Genomic DNA, 22,093 nt, shown 5'->3' with positions numbered 1-22,093 from the left:
TGAGTCCTCAGAAATAATACCACACATCTACAACCATCTGATCTTTCACAAACCTGACAAAAACAAGCAATGGGGAAGGGATTCCCTATTTAATAAATGGTGCTGGGAAAACTGGCTAGCCATATGCAGAAAACTGAAACTGGACCCCTTCTTTACACTTTATACAAAAATTAACTCAAGATGGATTAAAGATTTAAACAAAGACCTAAAACCATAAAACCCCTAGAAGAAAACCTAGGCAATACCATTCAGGACATAGGCAGGAGTAAAGACTTCATGACTAAGACAAAAAAAGCAATGGCAACAAAAGCCAAAATTGACAAACGAGATCTCGTTAAACTAAAGAGCTTCTGCACAGCAAAAGAGACTATCATCAGAGTGAACAGGCCACCTACAGAATGGGGGAAAATTTTTGCAATCTATCCATCCGACAAGGGACTAATATCCAGAATCTACAAAGAACTTAAACAAATTTATGAGAAAAAAACAAACAACCCCATCAAAAATTGGCAAACTATATGAACAGACAATTTTCAAAAAAAGACATTTATGCAGCCAACAGACATGAAAAAATGCTCATCTTCACTGGTCATTAGAGAAATGCAAATCAAAACCACAATGAGATACCATCTCACGTCAGTTAGAATGGTGATCATTAAAGTCAGGAAATAGCACATGCTGGAGAGAATGTGGAGAACGCTTTTCAATGTTGATGGGAGTGTAAATTAGTTCAAACATTTTGGAAGACAGAGTGGCGATTCCTCAAGGCTCTAGAACCAGAAATACATTTGACCCAGCAATCCCATTATTGAGTATATACCCAAAGGGTTATAAACCATTCTGCTATAAAGACACATGCCCACATATGTTTATTGCTGCACTGTTCACAATAGCAAAGACTTGGAACCAACCCATATGCCCATCAATGATAGACTGGATAAAGAAAATGTGGCACATATACATCATGGAATACTATGCAGCCATAAAAACGGATGAGTTCATGTCCTTTGCAGGGACATGGATGAAGCTGGAAACCATCATTCTCAGCAAAGTAACACAAGAACAGAAAACCAAACACCACATGTTCTCACTCGTAAGTGGGAGCTGAACAATGAGAACGCATGGACACAGGGAAGGAGACAACACACACTGGAGCTTGTCAAGAGGTGGGGTGGGGCAGGGAAGGGATAGCATTAGCAGGAATACCTAACTTAGATGACAGGTTGATGGATGCAGCAAACCACCATGGCACGTGTATACCTATATAACAAACCTGCACATTCTGCACATTTATCTCTGAACTTAAATTATAATAAAAACAATTAAAAAAGAAAATATTGCAAATCATAATACACGGAAAAAAGACATCACAGTTTACAGAGATAGGGCAAGCATGACCAGGTGCAGATATGGCAGGGACACTGGATTTATTAGAACAAGCATTTGAAACAACTATGATTAATATACCACAAGCTTTAATAGATAAAATAGACCACATGCAAGAACAAATAAGCAATGTATGCAGAAAATGCAAATTCTAAAAAAGAGAAACAAATGAAATGTTATTTATCTAACATATAACAGTTTATTCAAAATAATAACAATGTATTAGATTGTATAGGATTGTGTATAAGCAAAATGAGTGACAACAATAATAGAAGGAAGGAGAGGCAGGAATTAGGAGGATTTTGTTATTATAAGATACACCACCTGTGAATCAGTGTAGTGTTGTTTTGAAGGCGGACTTGGTTTAGTTGTAAACATATTTTACAAGGTTTAGTGCTACCACTAATAAAAGTAAAACAATATATAACTGTTGTGCTAATAAGGAGAGAGAATAGAATTATGTTAAGTGTTAAAACTACAAAAGCTGTAAAACATGGAAGACTAAAATAAGAATAAAGAACAAGGGCAATAAATTCACAAGGATAAGAAATATTGTGGATATTCATCCAACTGTATCAAAAATTATTTTTAACATCAGTGGTCTTAAATGTGCTTATTAAAAAATAAAGATTGTCAAAATGGATGAAGAAATAAGACCAAATGATATGTTATCTGCAAGAAATCCACTTTCAATGTTAAAGGCATATATGGATTAAAAGTCAGTGAATGGAGAAAGATGTGCCATGCTAACACTAACCTGAAGAAAGCAATAGTTTTTATTGATTCCAGGTGGCACAGACTTCAACAAGGAAAGGTTTAGGGAAAAAGAGGGACATTAAGCAACGGTAAATAAATTATCCAAAAAAGACGTAACAATCCTTAGCATGTATACACCTGATAATAGAGCATACAAATATGTAAGGCTAAACTGACAGAACTTCAAGAAGAAATGGAAGAATCCACTATCATAGTTGATATACAAAGCTTATTCAAAATTTGAAATTCAATTAATGTATTACATCAAATCAACAGGCTAAAGAAGAAAAATCACATGTCTGTATCAATAGATCCAGAAAACTCATCCGACACTCATGCGTGATAAAAACTCTCAGTAAACTAGGAATAGATGGGGGACATCCTCAACTTGATAAAAATTACCTACCAAACCAAGAGCTGATACCATACTTAACGGTGGGAAATCCAAAGATTTTCTACTAAAATTATAAAAAAGGGAAAGATATTCTCGGTCACATGTCAGGTAAGTTAATATAAAGCTAATTAAATACATAAAAATTCTATAAGAGGAAAACTATCAAACTCTGATAAATCAAAGAAGTACTAAATAAATGGAATATATTTTATATTCATGGACGGGGAGACTCAATATTGTCTGGATGTCAGTTCTTCCAAACTTGAACTACAGATTTAATAAAATTCCAATCAAAATTCCAGCAAGTAATTTTGGATATTGACAAATTGATTCTAAAATATATAGAGAGAGGCAAAAGACACAGAATAGCCATCACACTATTGAAAAACAAGATCAAAGTTGAAGGATTAACACTATAAAACTTCAAGACATACTCTAAAGCTACAGTCATCAAGACAGCATGATGTTAGGAAAGAAACAGACAAATAGATCAATGGAACAGAAGAGAAAGCCTAGAAATAGGCCGACATAAATACAGTCAACTAATCTTTGACTAAGGAGCAAAAAAATACAATGGAGTAAATATAGCCTGTTCAACAAATGATCCTGGAAAAAATGGACATCCACAGGCAATGCAGAAAAATAAAAAAGAAAGAACTTAGACAGAAATATTACACCCTTCACAAAAATTAATTCCAAATGGAACACAGCTCCAATTATAAAAGACAATAATTTAAAAACTCCTAGAAGATAACATAGTACAAAGTCTAGATGACCTTCACTTTTGCGATGACTTTTTAGATTCTATGCCAAAGGCATGATGCACAAAAGAAACGACTGATAAACTGGACCTCATTAAAATTAAAATTTTCTGCTCTATGAAAGACATTCTCAAGAGAGCAAAAAGACACACTGCAGATTGGACAAAAATATTTGCAGACAACATAGCAGATAAAAGATGCTAAGGAAAATATGCAAAGAACTGTTAAAACTCAATGATATCAAAACAAAAATTCCAATTAAGAATGGGCCAGAAACATTAACAGATACCTTACCAAAGAATATATACAGATGAAAATTAGCGTATGAAAATATTAAAAATGGGCCAGAAACCTTAACAGATATCTTACCAAAGAATATATACAGATGAAAATTAGCGTATGAAAATATTAAAAATGGGCCAGAAACCTTAACAGATACCTTACCAAAGAATATATACAGATGAAAATTAGCATATGAAAATATGCACCACGTTGTATATCATCAGATAAATACAAATTAAAACAACAATAATATACCACTACACACCTATTAGAATGGTCCAAATCCAGAACATGGACAACAACAGTTACTGGTGAGATTGTGGAGCAAAAGCAACTTTCATTTATTGGTGATGGAGATGGAAAGTTCTACAATTACTTTGGAAGACAGTTTGGCAATTTTAAAAAAACTAAACACTGTTTTACCATATGATCTAGCAATCACACTCCATGATATTACCCAAAGAAGTTGAAAACTTATGTCCACTCAAAACCTGAATATGGATGTTTAGAACAGTTTTGTTTATAATTTCTAAAACATGGAAGTAACAAAGAAGTCTGTCTGTAGGTGAATGGATAAATAAACTGTTGTACATTCAGAAAATTGGATATTATTCAGTACTAAAAAGAAATGAGTTATTAAGTCATGAAAAGACATGGAAGAAACTTAAAGTCATACCACTAAGTAAAATAAGCCAATATGAAAAGGGTAACTATTGTATGATCCAACTATATGACATTTTGAAAAAGGAAAAAGTACGGAGACAAGTTTTAAAAATGAGTGGTTTCTTGGGGTGGGGGGAAGATAGGGGTGAATAGGAAGAGCTCAAAAGATGTTTAGGGTAGTGAAACGACTATGATACTATAATGGCAGATAACTGCCACTATATATATCAAAACCCATAACATATGCAACACCAAGAGTCAACTGTAATGTGAACTATGGACTCTGGATGGTAATGATGTGTCACTGTAAGTTCATCAGCTATAACTTCATCCCCCCCTCTGGTGGGGGATGTTGACTACAGAGGGGGCTGTGCTTGTGTAGGGACAGGTGGTATACAGGAAATTTTTGTACCTTACACTCAACTTTGCTGTGAACTGAAAACTGCTCTGAAAAACTAAAGTCTATTTAAAAAAGGAAAGGAAAAAAATCCATTTGTCAAAGAGAAAGACTTAAGGGAAATAAAAACATATTGAACCGATGAAAATAGAAACACAAGATGTCAGAATTTTGGGGATGCAGCAAATGCAGTGCTAACAAGGAAATTATAGAACTAAATCCTATATTAGAAAGGACACTTCAAATCAGAAATCTAAAATATTATCTCAAAAAAATTAAAAATGAGAGCAAAATAAAAGCCAAAGCAACTAAAAAATAGGCAAATATTAAAAGGGCAGAATTCATTGAATGGATTACAGACCACAATATAAAAATCAGTAAAAATTAATGTAGTTCTTTGAAAAACCTCTAGCACAATTAACAGAAAAACAGAGACAAGGCACCAAAAAATTATAATCTAACAATATTGTCAGAACATGGGCAAGAAACAGGAAGAGAAATCTTCTCAACAAAGAGGATATAACATACATGGCATATAACAAAGAGGATATAACATACATATAACAAGTTGTTCATCATTATCAGACTTGAGGGATATGTAAATGAAGACTATGATGAGCAGAACCAAAATTTTAAGTGACAATACCCAAACCTTGCAGGGATGTAGAGAAACTGGATCTTTTATACATTATTGGTAGGATATAAAATGTTATCTATATTCTGTAGCCACTATAGAATATAATTTGGCATTTTATTTAAAACTAAACAAACATTTTCTATTCTATGGTGCAATTTGCACTTCTAGGCATTTATCCCAGATAAATAAAAGCTTATGTCCACACAAGAACATCTACACTACGATTGTTTTGCTCCTGTGATGGTATGTTAGCTTACTGCTCACAAGTCATGGTTATAGAGGTTATACAATAGTTAGCAAATGTCCTGCTTCCAGTTCTTACACAATTTTTATGTCAGCAGAGGTAATGTTCAGGTGATACACACAAGTATGGTTAAACAATTCTGTAGGGCTGGCCAACATTCTGATTGTCTAGCATTATTGTTGTTTAAATAGTCATCATATTTTATTGGGTATTTTCAGTATTACCTATGGAGGTATTATTTTCTTTTATTTTATAAAGGGAGATGCTGACTTTAAAGAATTTCAACAACTCACCAAATGTCACAGTCTCATTATTTTTAAGACTACTTTTTTTTTCTATTCCATAATTACTTCCTATCAATTCGAGAATTACACTCAACCAAATATCTATTCTTACACTATCTCTTAATGAATTACATATGAGAGAAAGCTTAAAAACACAAAAATTACAAGAATGAATAATGCTTAGTAGCTGACAGGTAATTTCTAGTATACTTGTCAGTATAATTAATTGCATGTATAATACACGCTACACTAAATTAATATCTAAATACCATAGTTAGTAGCCATTAGATTGCATTTATCACTCTTGTTCCTTTGCAAAGGGTTTGTTAGCTCATTAAAAAGTGTTGGGGTAAGCAACTGAATACTGTACCGCTGTCAGCAACTGGTGGTTGAGGTTCCCCATCAGAATAAATGCCAGAATAATACAGAACTGACAATATTAACATCTTTCACCAGTATTAAAATTTGTGCTGTGCTTTGAAAGATTAAGAAATATACCAAGAGCTAAAGGTAAAAAAAATTTGACAAGAGTAATGCATTCTTTGATATTATCAAAATAAGTGGTTGGCACAAAGTAAATGATTGATCAGTGGTAGCTGAGGTGGGAGAAGAGGAGCAGTAGCGAGAGGTAGAGAAAGGGCCGGTGCAGAGATGGGTCTATATTTAGGGAAGAGGCTGTGTTAGAAATGTAAGCTAAAAACTTGTGAGGCATGTAAAATAAAGGGAGTGGAAGAAGTTAGCAAGGCATTTGTCTAAACTGATGGGAGACAAAGTGAGGCAACCCCCTGGAAACACATGCAGTGGCAAAGGAGCCCGCTGTAGGAACGACACAGTTCCCACATTACACAACCTGTGAACTAGGAAGAGGCAGAAAAGATGAGTCCAAAGACAAGTAAGAGACAAGAATGGGACATCTCGAGAGATACTCAGACAAAAAGCTAAGGAAAACAGTTGAGAGAAAAGCAGAAGATACATCAGGCTACAAGGAGTCACCTTGTTAAAAGAAGGAGAGTGTCTAATCTAAACATAGAGCAGTGTTACAGGATACTTTGCCAAAAATATCATCAAGGGACATTCCTGGGAAGGTTCTGAATGTCAGGCTAAGGCTTCTTAGCCCTGAATTTAATAAGTAAAGGGGTATAATAGAAATATGGTAATGTTAATTCATAGTTGAAAAATTATATTGAGCTTTCATGTCCATAGATACAATTTTTTCACTTTGTTATTTACCCTTTTCTCTATACTGGGATAATGCATTTATAATTTATTCTAATGCAAATATTGTTATTGTCAATTTTATATTATAGTAATGAAAATAATGCAGATTTTGAATATGTGAAAAAATATATGTAAATAAAATGTAAATATATAAATTTATGTAAATATAGTCAGATTTTTACAAAGTATTTTAAATTATTATTTAGAATGAAACTACCAAAGGACTGCTTTAGTTCCCAGGATGTTATTTTAGTGTGACAAAAATGCAGTTCATAAGGAATTAAAACTAAGAAATGCAATTAGTTTTGTGTAATTTATTTTAAGTGCTGCCTTTAAGTGAAAAGTTGCCAATAAAATCTTAAAGTAAGTTTATTCTTCTGGCCATGACGGATATTTCAAGATGAGCAGAGAATGTGTGTTTTTGGTCTTGTGATTCCCCGAAAGTTTCCCCTCTTTGTTCCTTAATGGCATTAATGTAGTTAGAGGTGTTATGTGATGAATTTCTTGGGTTTACCTTTGCTTCAATCTGTTTAGTATCTGGATTCTGAAACAAAAATTTGATTTTGCTCTTGCCATCATCTGAAGAACCTTTAAGCTGAGAGAATTTATACCTCCAAAGGACAGCCTAAAGGGGGGAAAAAAAACAATGTAAGTCGGTGGAATTAATATCTGCTTTCAAATCAAGAAATAGTTCTTTTTTAAATGGTAAAAGTTAATCATACAAAGTTAGTACTATGTCCCAATATTTTAAAATGAAATTTAAAAATATTTATCAAATGTTAACATTTGTGATTCAATATTATCATTTAATTTTCAGAAATATTTTATCCATGAAATAATTATTGCAAAAATGCATAAAAATAAATTGCTCTTAGTATCTTGTCTTATGTGCACAGTCAATAAGCACTGTATGTTTCATTGAGTCCTTTTCAATAGAAGTGACAAAGTGATTTTGAATTGATCATTCTGGAACTTCATCTTGAAGCTCAACTAATAACCTTCGCTTTATTAAGATGACATATTAGCTTGAATAAACCCTTATGACAAAAACTGACATGGTGCTTTCATGAGATGCAGAATAAGCATTTTATAGAGCCATCATCTGCATCAGTCTGTAATATCTTGGAAAGTAGAGCCTCTTTCAGAAACATATTCTACAAATGTAATTCTCTGAAGCAGAAAGTAACAGAAATCTGTTGCCTTTCCAAATAACAAAAATGGAGATATAAAAGGTGAAATTGGCAATAAGTGGGAATTGTCTATAACAAGTTTTTGTCTATCCTGTATCATAAATCATATTTCCTGGGAGCAGGTGCAGCAGTTCACTCTTTGGTATGTCCTGAAACTAAAAACATGCATGTCCAAAGTAAAACACCAAAGATATAAATCATTAAAGAAGAAAATTGTGTATGTGTGTTCAAACATGATCACACACCATGTAGTTTGTTTTACCTTATCTTAGCATACCTTTATCTCATTAAATATGTGATAGAAAATACTTTTAACAAATTATTGTTTCAAATATTTTTTAAATGATTTCTTATGGTTTCTAAATAGATCAACAAAACATAGCTGATATAGTCAAATATTTTCTGAGTGCAGTCCTATTTAAGCTATTGTTGCTGATAAAATAGTAAAGAAAGAACAGAGTATATGTCTCACATCTTTTTCAGAATAAAATGTGATAGATAAAAGCATATACGGGCATACCTCGGGGTATATACAGGCATACCTCAGGGCTTTTGTGGATTTTGTTCCAGACCACCACGAAACAGCAAGTATTGCAATGAAGTGAGTCACAGAAATTGTTTGGTTCCCCAATGCATATAAAAGTGATGTTTGTTTCTATACTGTAGTCTATTAAGTGTACAATGACATTAAGCCTAAAAAAATGTATATACCTTAATTAAAATATAATTTATTACTAAAAAATGCCAGGGGTCATTCAAGTCTTCAGTGAGCCGTAGTCCTTTTGCTGGTGGAGGGTGCTGCCTTGATGCTGACAGCTGCTGGCTCATCAGGATGGTGATTGCTGGTGGTTGGGGTGGCTGTGACAATTTCTTAAAATAAGACAGCAATGAAGTCTGCTGCATTGATTGACTGTTTCATGAAAGATTTTTCTGTAGCCTGCAATATAGCCGAATAGCATTTTACCCACAGAATTTCTGAACTGCAGTCAATTCACTCAAATCCTGCTGCTGTTTATCAACTAAATTAATGTAATATTCTAAATATTTTGTTATCATTTCAACAATATTCACAGCATTTTCATAAGAAGTAGGTTCCATCTGAAGAAACCACTTTCTTTGCTCCTCCATAAGAAGAAACTCCTCACTCACCAAAGTTTTATCATGAGATTGCAATAATTCAGTTGCATCTTCAAGGCTCCAGTTATAATTTTAGTTTTCTTGTTATTTCCATGGCATTTGCATTTACTTCCTTCACTGAAGTCCTGAACCTCTCCAAGTCTCCGAAGAGGGTTTAGAATTGATTCAACTTCTTCCAAATCCCTATTTATATTGATATTTTGACCTCCTCCCATGAATCATATATAATGTAATGGCATCTAAAATTATGAATCCTTTCTAGAAAGTTTTTAATTGACTGCCAAGATCCATCAGAGGAATCACTTTATCTATGTTATCTATAGCCTTACAAAGTGCATTTCTTAAATAATAAGACTTGAAAGTCGAAAATACTCCTTGATTCATGGACTGCAGAATGGATATTGTGTTAGCAGACAAGAAGACATTAGCCTCCTTGCACATCTCCCTCAGAGTTCTTGGATAATTTGGTACATTTTTAGTGAGCCGTATTATTTTGAAAGGAATTGTTTTTTCGAAGCAGTGGGTGTCAATAGTGGACTTAACATATTCAGTAAACCATGCTGTAAACAGATGTTCCTCAGGATTTAATATTCCATTTAGAGTACAGGTAGGGTAGATTTAGCACAATTCTTAAGGGTCCTAGGATGTTTAGAATGGTAAATGAGAATTGGCTATACTTTAGTCACGAGCTGCATTGGTCCCAACAAGAGAGGCAGCCTATCCTTTGAAGTTTTGAAGCCAGACATTGACTTCTCCTCTCTACCTATGAAAGTTTCAGATGGCATCTTCTTCCAATATAAGGCTGTTTTATCTACACTAAAAATCTGTTGTTTAGTGTAGCCACCTTTATCAATGATCTTAGCTAGATCTTCGGATAACTTGCTGTAGCTTCTCCATCAGCACTTGCTGCTTCACGTTGTACTTTTATGGTGTAGAGATGGCTTCTCTCCTTAAACCTCATGAACAAACTTATGCTAGCTTCAACCTTTTCTTCTTCAGCTTCTTCATCTTTATCAGCTTTCATAGATCTGAAAAGAGAGCCTTCCCCTGGATTAGGCTTTGGCTTAAGGGAATGTTGTGGCTGGTTTGATCTATCCATACCATGAACACTTTCTCCATATCAGCAAAAAGCCTGTTTCACTTTCTTATCATGTATGTGTTCCCTGGAGTAGCAGTATTACATTTCTTCAAAAACTCTTCCTTTGCATTCACAACTTGCTTAACTGTTTGTCACAGGAGGCCCAGCTTTTAGCCTATCTCTGTTTTCAACACGCCTTTCTCACCAAGCGTAATCATTTCTAGATTTTGATTTAAAGTGAGAGGCATGTGAGTCTTTCATTTGAATGCTTAGAAAGTCCATTGCAGGATTATTAATTAGCTTGATTTTCAAATTATTGTGTCTGTGGGAATAGGGAGGCCTAAGTACAGGGAGAGAGGTGGGAAACGGTCAGTGGAGCAGTCAGAACACACATCTTTTTGGTTAAAATTATTCACCATCTTATATGGGCACAGTTCATGGTGCTCCAAAATAATTACAATAATAACATGAAATATTACTAATTGCAGGCCACCATAACAAATGTAATTTAAAAAGCTTTGAAACATTTTAAGCATTACCAAAATGTGACACAGAGATACAAAGTAAGCGCACGCTGTTGGAAAAACAGCTGATAGAGTGGCTCAATGCAGGGTTGCCACAAACCTGCAATTTGTAAAAGACACAGTATATGTGAAGGACAATAAAGCAAAGTATGATAAAATGAGGTATGCCTGTAAATTAGCACTTATGTCAATACATTCACACTGTCATATGAAGAGCAAGTTATAGTTAAACATATCCTGAATACCAATTTTAACATATCACCAGTGATCCTTAAAACCCAGATTTCTTAAGGTCTTAGCCTCTTTAAGCAGAGTTTCTAATGAGAAAGTAGTACCCCTTCACCTAGCAAAATGTAAAATAATTCCTGGTAAAATGCCTGTTCTCCAAGATTATCTCACACTGACACTGAGAAAATGAGATTGGTAAAGGTTCCAATAAATACATTTAAGGGTAAATGGAGTGAGAAAATGTTTATCTCCAACCAGCAATTCCACAGTAAATATTCATATGCATAACTTTTCCTCGTGGTAATATTTTCAGCTTAGATATTACAGGTTTATAATTAGGAGACATTACCCATGGTCTCCATTTGTACATATGTATTTTAATGGTGAGTGGTAACAATGCCAGACAAAAAAACTGCAACTTTCACCTTCAACTCAATAAAGTGTGTGTTTTTGCTTTTTTCCTATCTTGGTACATGGGGAAAAAATGTACCTTACATTTAAAAAAAAATTGTGTCTTACACAGCTTGGGCAACATGATGAAACCCTGTCTACAAAAAAGACAAAAAGTTAGCTGGACTTGATGGCATGAGCCTGTAGGCCTAGCTACCTGGGAGATTGAGATGGGAGAATCACCTGAGCCCAGTGGTTGACGCTACAGTGAGCCGTGATCGTGCCACTGCACTACAGAGTGAGCCCTGTCAGAAAGAGAGAAAGAGAAAAAGAGAGGAAGGAAAGAAAGAAGGAAGGAACGAAGTGTGAAAATTTTTGTTTTTGAAATTAAAATTTTGGCATTTTTCTTCAACAGATTAATACTAAAACAAGATCAAAATTTAAGAATTAAAGTAACAGAGGTAAAAGGAAAATTCGACATGGAGATTATATAAAATAATAGAATGTTACCTTAATTGTATAACTAATACATAAGGTAAGCATATGATAAGGTAGAATCCTAGTACCCAGTTTACTTTATATGTGTTCTTAAATATTAATTTTTATACGCCAATTTTTTAAGAGTAAAACACACATGCACAAAAAAACTTGTAGTACTTAAGCTAGATTTCTGAGGCACCCTTAGTTTGACAAATGTGGAGGAATATGAGTAGCACGCTCAAGAAAAAGTTTAAGTCCATGGTCTGAACAATTCTACTAGTTCAGTGCATCATTTCAGAAAGATGCAACAAGGAATTACTGAAGCATAACCCTTCATGATTGAAGTCAATATTTTCTGCTACCCCCTTTCAGGAGACAATTTTTCAATTTATATAGGCCTACAGTGCATTATACTACTTTTCCAGATTTGTAGCTCCAAGAATACCTGAGGGGGTGTTAATCTGGAGCTAATAGTTTTATAATGAAATTCATTTCTTACTAGATCAGAATTCCTTCCAGAAGTCTATAAGGTTTTTTGACTATACCTCATCATCCAATATCACAATAGCATATTTAGATAGCATACAATCTGCAGAAGAGCAAAAGCACTAAAAAAAAGTAAACTTGCATTTATTGTTTGACTACATAATGACATTGAACCCATCCTACAAGTCTAAAGATGTTTTGCAGGGAAAATAAAAAGCATATGTGTATATATATAATATATATTATATATATTTACAATATAATATATTATATATTATATATATTTACAATATGTATATGCAAATATATATTATACATATATATGACTTACAAAAATGTTAAGACAATCAGAAAGTTCATATCCACTCCACACCCAGTTTGCCCAATTAATGATATCTCACATTAGTATGGTGTCTTGTCACAGTTAATAAACTAATATCAGCAGATTATTAAGTAAGGTCTATCATTTATTTAGATATCTTTAGTTTTAACCTAATGTCTTTTTCTGTTATGGTGTCATGTTACATTTATTCATTGTGACTTCTTAGGCTCCACTTGGCTGTGACAGGTTCTCAGTTCCTCATCAGACTGTACTTGAAAACTTTGAGGAGTCCTGTCAGGTATTTTGTAGACTAGCACCTATTGTAATGTTTTCGATGTTTTTCTCATGAATAGATAGGCCAAAGATTTTCTTTGAATCAAAAAGGACTCACAGTTTTTTGTTAATGATGCCAGTGGATATCCCTGAGAGGCTTTCATTTAAGGCATGTGATTTGAGTGTGATGTGTTGTGTGTGTTCGTTCAGCTGGGGTAGCTGGTCTTAACACAGTTTTATAGTTTATTTCAACATAGATCTATGTGAAGAAAAGCATGACTTTTAGAGTACTAAAACTCCATATCTTGATTACTTTATTACTAAAACATTTGTATAAGAACAGTCAAAATTAAGTAGAATATACTCATGTATTTTTACATTATCTATAATTCCTTATTTTCTAATTTCAAATTATTATTTAACATTAACAATTATAAAAATAAAAAGAACATTCACATTTTCTTTTGGTGTGGTAAAATATACATAATATAAAATTTAGCATCGTAATGATTTTTACATGTATGATTGAAGAATGTTAAATACATTCACAATGTTGTGTAATCATTACCACTAGCCATTTACAGAATATTTTTTTCATCCTAAACAGGAACTCTGTACCCATTAATCATATGTCTTCACTTATCTTTCCCCACTGCCCCAGGCACCCTTTATTCTACTTCCTGTCTCTAAGAATTTGCCTATTCTAGGTATTTCATTTAAGGGGAATCATAAAACATCTCTCCTTTTGTGTGTGGCTTATTTCACTTAACGTAAGGTTTTCGAGGCCCATCCATGGCTAAATAATATTCCATTGTCTGAAAATCCCAATTTTGTTTATCCATTCATTTATCGACCGACACTTGAGTTGCATTCACCATTTGTCAACTGTGAGTCATACTTCTATGAACATTGGTGTACAAGTATCTGTTTAAGTCCCTGCTTTCAATTCTTTGGTGTATATACTGAGAAGCTGCACTGTTAAATCATATGGTAACTTATGTTCAACTTTTTGTGGAACCACCAAATGTTTTTCAGAGGCTACATCATTTTATAATTATACCAGCAATGTGAAAGAAAGGGTTACTCTTCCATTTATGAGGTTCTCCACATCCTCATCAACAACTTTGTTTGTTTTCTTTCTGATTTTTGCCATCCCAATGAATGTAAAGTGGTAACTCCTGTGGTTCTGACTTGCATTTCACTAATGGCTAGTGATGTTGGTCATCTTTTTGTGTGCTTGCTGGCCATTTGTATATATTCTTTGTTGCAATATCTACTCATGTTCTATTTTGAATTGAGTTGCTTGTTTTGTTGTTACTGAGTTGTATAAGCATTTTATACATTTTGGATATTAACCCATTATCACATATATGATTTGCAAATACATTCTTCCATTCTGTGGGTGACCTTTGCACTCTGTTGTAGTACCCTTTGATGTACAAAAGTCATTCGCTTTAATGTTGTCCAATTTATCTATCTTTTATTTTGTTGCCTGAGCTTTCGGCGTCATAGCAAAGAAATTATTGCCAAATTTAAAGTAATGAAGCTTTTCCCCTATGCTTTCTTCTACAAGTTTTATCATTTTAACTCTTACAGTTAGGTCTTTGACTCATTTTGAGTTAATTTTTGAGTATGGTATAAGGCCAGGGTCTAACTTTATCCTTTTGCAGGTGAGTATTTTGTTTTACTAACAAACACCATTAGTTGAAAACACTGCTCTTTCCTCATTGGATGGTCTTGGCACCCTTGTTGAAAATCATTTTACCATACATATGAGGTTCATTCTGTGATCTCTATTCTATTCCATGTTTTTATGTCTGTCTCTATGACAGGACAACACTATTTTAATTACTATAGCTTTGTAATAAGTTTTGTAATCAGAAGTCAAAGACCTACAACTTTTGTTCTTTTTCAAGATTGTTTTGGGTATTTGGGGATCCTTAAAATTTTATGTTAGTTATAAGACGGACTTTTCTATTTCTTCAAAAAATATCAGTGACATTTTGATGAGGACTGCGTTGTATCATATTGTCATCTTAATAATAATATGTCTTTCAATTCATAAACACAGGATGTTGTTTCTTTTATATTGCTTTCATCAATTTTCTGTAGATTTTAGTATACAAGACTTTCACCTACTTGGTTAAGTATATCCCCAATTATTTTATTCTCTTTATGTTATTGTAAATAAAATTGTCTTCTCAAATGCTTTTCCAGATTATTCATTGTTAGTGTATAGATACACAACTCTTTTTGTATGTGTGTTGATTTTGTATACTGTGACTTTGCTATTATTATGTATTAGCCAAAACAGGTTTTGTGTGGTTATTTAGTTTGGATATTTGTCCCCGCTTAAATCTCATGTTGAAATCTAATCCCCAGTGTTTGGAAAGGGGCCTTATAGGAGGTGTGTGGATCACGGGGGCAGATATCTGAAAGATCTGCACCCACGAATGGCTTGGGCCATCCCCTTGGCAATAAGTGAGCTCTCAGTCTGGGTTCATAGGAAATCCTGTCTGAAAAATGTGTGTCACCTCCTCTCTCTCTCTCTCTGCTCCTATTTTTGCCATGTGACAAGCTTGCTTCCACTTCATCTTCCACCATGACTAAAAACTCCCTGAGACTTCCCCAGAAGCCATCAGATGCCAGCACCGTGCTTCCTGTATAGGCTGAAGAACAGTAAGCCAACTAAACCTCTTTCCTTTATGAATTACCCAGTCTCAGGTATTTCTTTATACTGATCCAAGAATGGCCTAATACATCTGATGTGTGTGTGTTTGTGTGTGTAGTTGTCTACATACAAGATTATGTCATCTGTGAGCAGAGATAATTTTACTAATTTTCAATTTTCTTTGGCTTTTTTTTTTTCTTGCCTAATAGCTCTGGCTAAAACTGTCAATAATACCATGTCAAACAGAAGAAGTCAAAGCAAGTATTCTTGTTCCTGATTTAGGAGAAAACTTTCAGTCTTTCAGCATTGGATATAATATTATCTGTGGGTCGTTTTTCATATTTCAAATATCTTTCTATTCCTAGTTTATTAAGTTTTTTTGTTAAAGGTTGATGCGTTCTGACAAGTGTATTTTTCTGTATTAATTGAGAAGATTCTTGTATTTTTATTTAAACTTCATTCTATTAAGGTGTTGTATTACATTGATTGATTTACATATATTGAATCTTCCTTGAATTTCATTAATAAATACTACTTGGCCATGGTGTATAATCCTTTTAATATGTTGCTGAGTTCTGTTTGCTAGTATTTTTTGAGAGTTTTTTAAATTAATATTCATTAGGAATATTGAGCTACTATTTTCTTTTCTTGTAGCATCTTCTTCTGGCTTTGGTGTCAAGGTAATGTTGGCCTCACAGAATGACTTACAAAGCATTCCCACTCCTTCAATTTTTTTTTTTTTTGGTAAGAATTTGAGAATAACTTTGATTTTTTTAATGTTTGGTAAAATTCACCAATAAAGCTATGTGGTCCAGGCCTCTTCTCTGTTGACAGATTTATGATTATGGATTCAATCCCCTTAATAGCTACAGATTCATTCACTTTTGGCAGTGTGTATATTTCCAGGAATTTATCTATTTCATCTAGGTTATCAAATTTCTGAAATGCAATTGCTCATAAAATTGTCTCTTAATCCATTTATTTTTACAATATTATCAAAATGTCTCTTCTCTTTTTTTCTGATTTTAGTAATTTGGGTCTTCTTGTTGAGACAATCAGGCTAAAGACTTATAAATTTTGTTATTTTTTCAAGGAACCAACCTTTAATTTTGTTGATTTTTCTTCATTACTTTCTAGTATCTATTTTATTTTTTTCAACTATAATCTTTATTGTTTTCACCTTTCTAGCTAGCTTTCAGTCTACTCGTCTTTTTCTACTTCTTTAAGATGTAATGTCAGGTCACTGATTTGTGATGTTTCTTATTTTTAGATGAGTTTTTGTTTTCATCCTCTTTTTTAATATATATATACTTATACTCCTACAAGTTTCCCTTTTAGTACTGCTTTCGCTTTGTCTCATATATTTTGGTATGTTTGTGTTTCACTTTCATTTTCCTCTAAATATTTGTTTTCTTCTTTATCCAGTTGACAGTTAGGAGTGTGTTGATTTCCATTTCTTTCTGGATTGTCCAGTGTTTCTTCTGTTATTGATTTTTAGTTTCATTCCATTGTGAGCAGAAAAGATATTTTGTATAATTTCAATCATTTAAAATCTATCATGACGTATTTTGTGTCTTAACACATGGTCTAATCTGAAGAATGTCCCATGTGCCCTTCAGAAAAATGTGTATTCAACTGTGGTTGAATATATGGCATGCATATGTCTGTTAGATCCAGTTGGTTAATTTTGTGTGTGTATGATTTTTTTAAAATTAATAATAGATTTTATTTTTGAGAGCAGTTTCATGTTCACAGAAATAATAAGCAAAAGAAACAGAGTGGTGCATTTGTTATAATCTACGAACCTACATTGATATTATTATCCTTCAAAGTCCTAAGTTTACATTTGGGTTCACTTTTGGTGTTATAAATACTATGGATTTTAACAAATGTGTAATAACATTTATCTACCATTACAGTGTCTTGCAGAGTAGTTTCATTGCCCTGGAAATCCTCTGTGGTCCACCTACTCATCCCTCTCTTTCCCACAATCACTGGTAACCACTGGTCTTTTACCATCTTCACAGTTTTGCCTTTTCCAGAATCTCATATAGTTGGAATCATACAGTATATAATCCTTTCCAATTGACTTCTTTCACTTAGTAATGTGCATTTGTTTCCATCATGCCATTTCATGGCTTTTCTTTTCTGATGCTCAATAATATTCCATTTTCCAGGTATACCATAGTTTAGTTATCCATTCACATACTAAAGTGAATGCTGGTTGTTTCCATGTTTGGGCAATTATGAATAAAACTGCTCTAAATATCCATGTGCAGACTTTTGTGAGGACATAGCTTTTTAGATACTTTGAGTAAATACCATGGAATAAGATTTGGATGGTAACAGTATGTTTTGTTATGTGAGAAACTGTTAAATTATCTTTTTCTTACATTTAACTTTTATTTTAAGTTCAGGGGTACTTGGTCAGGTGCAGTGGCTCGTGCCTGTAATCCCAACACTTGGGAAGTGGATGCGGGAAGATCACCTGAGGTCAGGAATTTAAGACCAGCCTGGCCAACATGGCGAAACCCCATCTCTACTAAAAATACAAAAACTAGCCAGGACTGGTGGCACACACCTGTAATGCCAGCCTCAGGAGGCTGAGGAAGAAGAATTGCTTGAACCCAGGAGGTGAGTGTTGCGATGAACTGAGATTGCACCACTGTACTCCAGCTTAGGTGACAGAGCAAGACTCTGCCTCAGAAAAAAAAGAAAAGTTCTTGTGAAGGTTTGTTATGTGGGTAAACTTACATCATGGAGGAGTTTTGTACAGATTATTTTGTCACCCAGGTATTAAGCCTAGTACCCAGTAGTTATTTTTCCTGCTCTTCTCCCTTCTCCAAACCTCCGTCCTCTGATAGGCCTCAGTGTATGTTGTTCTTCTCTATGTGACCATGTGTTCTCATCATTTAGCTCCTTTTTATAAGTGAGAACATGTGGTGTTTGGTTTTCTGTTCTTGTATTGGTTTGCTAAAGATAATGGCCTCCAGCTCCATCCATGTGCCTGCAATGTAAATGATCTCATTCTTTTTTATGGCTGCTTAGTATTCCATGGTGTATATACACCACTATTTCTTTATCTAGTTTACCACTGATGGGCATTTAGATTGACTCCATGTCTTTGTTATTGTGAACAGTGCTGCAGTGAACATACTTGTGCATCTCTCTTTATGATAGAACAATCTATATTCCTTTGAGTATATACTCAGTAATGGGATTGATGGGTTAAATAATATTTCTATTTTTAGGTCTTTGAGGAATTACCATACTGTCTTCCACAATGGTTAAACTAATTTATACTCCCACCAACCAGGTAAAAGCTTTCCTTTTTCTCTACAACCTTGTCAGCATTGTTTTTGTTTTGTTTTGTTTTGTTTTGTTTCTAATGGTAGCCATTCTGGCAGGTGTGAGATGGTATCTCACTGTGGTTTTGATTTGCATTTCTCTAATAATCAGTGATGTTGAGGTTTTTTTTTTTTTCATATGTTTTTTGGCCACATGTATGTCTTCTTTTGAAAAGTGTGGTTCATATCCTTTGCCCACTTTTTAATAAGGCTGTTTTTTTTTTCTTGTAAATTTGTTTAAGTTCCTTGTAGATGCTGGATATTAGACCTTTGTCAGATGCACAGTTTGCAAAAATTTTCTCCCATTCTGTTGGTTGTCTGTTCACTCTGTTGATAGTTTCTTTTGCTGCGCAGAGCTTTTTAGTTTAATTAGATCCCATTTTCCAATCTTTGCTTTTGTTGTAATTGCTTTTGGCATCTTCATCATGAAATCTTTGCCCAGTCCTATGTCTAGAATGGTATTGCCTAGGCTGTATTCCAGAGTTTTTATAGTTTGGGTTTTATATTTAAGTCTTTAATATATCTTGTGTTAATTTTGGTATATGGTGCAAAAAAAGGGGTCCAATTTCTTCTGCAACTGGCCAGCCAGTTATCTCAGCATCATTAATTGAATAGGGAATCCTTACCCCACTGATTGTTTTTGTCAGGTTTGTCAAAGATGAAATAGTTGTAGGTGTATGGTCTTATTTCTGGGTTCCCCATTCTGTTCCACTGGTATATGTGTCTGGTTTTGAACTAGTGCCATGCTGTTTTGGTTACTATAGCCCTGTTTAAAATCAAATGGAGTGATGCCGCCACGTTGTATTTATTTTATTTTTTTATTATACTTTAAGTTCTGGGATACACATGCCATGGTGGTTTGCTGCACCCAACAATCCATTATCTATGTTGTTTTCTCGTAATGCTATCCCTCCCCCAGCCCCACATCCAGTATATACCCAGTAATGGATTGCTGGGTCAAATGGTATTTCTGGTTCTAGATCTTTGAGGAATTGCCATAGTGTCTTCCACAATGGCTGAACTAATTTACACTCCCACCAACAGTGTAAAAGTGTTCCTATTTCTCCACATCCTCTTCAGCATCTATTATTTCCAGACTTTTTAATGATCACCATTCTAATTGGTGTGAGATGGTGTCTCATTGTGGTTTTGATCTGCATTTTTCTAAAGACCAGTGATGATGAGCTTTTTTTCATATGCTTGTTGGCTATATAAATGTCTTTTTTTGAGAGTGTCTGTTCATATACTTGGCCCACTTTTTGATGGGGTTGTTTGTTTTTTTCTTGTAAATTTGTTTAAGTTCCTTGTAGATTCTGGATATTAGCCCTTTTTGAGATTGATAGATTGTAAAACTTTTCTCCCATTGTGTAGATGGCCTGTTCATCCTGATGATAGTCTCTTTCGCTGTGCAGAAGCTCTTTAGTTTAACAAGATCCCATTTGTCAATTTTGGCTTTTGTTGCCATTGCTTTTTGTGTCTTAGTCATGAAGTCTTTGCTCATGCCTATGTCCTGAATGGTATTGCCTAGGTTTTCTTCTAGGGTTTTTATGGTTTTACGTCTTATGTTTAAGTCTTTAATCCATCTTGAGTTAATTTTTGTATAAGGTGTAAAAAGGGGGTCCAGTTTCAGTTTTCTGCGTATGGCTAGCCAGTTTTCCTAGCACCATTTATTAAATAGGGAATCCTTTCCCCATTGCTTTTTTTTTTTTGTCAGGTTTGTGGAAGATCAGATGGTCATAGATGTGTGGTGTTATTTCTGAGGCCTCTATTCTGTTCCATTGGTCTATATCTCTGTTTTGGTACAAGTACCATGCTGTTTTGGTTACTGTAGCTTTGTAGTATAGTTTGAAGTCAGGTATCATGATGCCTCCAGCTTTGTTCTTTTTGTTTAGGATTGTCCTGGCTGTGTGGGCTCTTTTTCAGTTTCATATGAAATTTGAAGTAGTTTTTTCTAATTCTGTGAAGAAAGTCAATGGTAGCTGGATGAGGATAGCATTGAATCTATAAATTACTTTGGGCAGTATGGCCATTTTCACAATATTGATTCTTCCTATTCATGAGCATGGATGTTTTTCCATTTGTTTGTGTCCTCTCTTACTTCTTCAAGCAGTGGTTTCTAGTTCTCTTTGAAGAGGTCCTTCACATTCTTAGTAAGTTGTATCCCTAGGTATTTTATTCTGTTTGTAGCAATTGTGAATAAAATTTCACTCATGATTTGGCTCTCTGTTTGTCTGTTATTGGTGTATAGGAAAGCTTGTGATATTTGTACATTGATTTTGTATCTTGAGGCTTTGCTGAAGTTGCTTCTCAGCTTAAGGAGATATTGGTCTGAGACGATGGGGTTTTCTAAACATATAATCATGTCATCTGCAAAGAGAGACAATTTGACTTCCTCTTTTCTTATGTGAATATCCTTTCTTTCTTTCTCTTGCCTGATTGCCCTGGCCAGAACTTCCAATACTATCTTGAATTGGAGTGGTGAGAGATGGCATCCTAGTCTTGTGCTGGTTTTCAAAGGGAATGCTTCCCACTTTTGCCCATTCAGTATGATATTGGCTGTGGGTTTGTCATAAATAGCTCTTATTATTTTGAGATACTTTCCATCAATACTTATTTTATTGAGGGGTTTTAGCATGAAGGGTGTTGAATTTTATTGAAGGCCTTTTCTGCATCTACTGAGATAATCATGTGATTTTTGTAATTGGTTCTGTTTATATGATGGATTACGTTTATTGATTTGCATACGTTGAAACAGCCTTATGTCCCAGGGATGAAGCCGACGTGATCATGGTGGACAAGCTTTTTGATGTGCTGCTGGATTTCGTTTGCCCATATTTTATTGAGGATTTTCTCACTGATATTCATCAGAAATATTGGCCTGAAATTTTCTTTTTTTGTTGTGTCTCTACTAGGTTTTGCTATCAGGATGATGCTGGCCTCATAAA

The 22,093-nt window shown here is 34.2% G+C and overlaps 1 protein-coding gene across 13 annotated transcripts in view; it reads right to left on the bottom strand.

The window, feature by feature from the left end:
* SNTG1 (syntrophin gamma 1) overlaps window positions 1-22,093 on the bottom strand; it is an 886,897-nt gene that overhangs the window by 37,045 nt on the left and 827,759 nt on the right. For 12 of the 13 annotated variants that reach the window (NR_135796.2, NR_135795.2, NR_135797.2 and 9 more), the window contains one exon: window positions 7,537-7,647. The exons of the other annotated variant lie outside the window; for it this stretch is intronic. Coding sequence is in view for 8 of the 12 variants with exons in the window: in NM_001287813.3 (NP_001274742.1) it covers window positions 7,537-7,647 (111 nt within the window). In the remaining 4 variants the exon portion in view is untranslated. The remainder of the gene's footprint in view (window positions 1-7,536; window positions 7,648-22,093) is intronic. 13 annotated transcript variants of the gene reach the window in all.

The sequence above is a fragment of the Homo sapiens genome, chromosome 8, assembly GCF_000001405.40.
Source record: "Homo sapiens chromosome 8, GRCh38.p14 Primary Assembly".
In the NCBI taxonomy this organism is placed as follows: Eukaryota; Metazoa; Chordata; class Mammalia; order Primates; family Hominidae; genus Homo; species Homo sapiens.
This window is presented reverse-complemented; position numbering and strand designations above follow the sequence as displayed.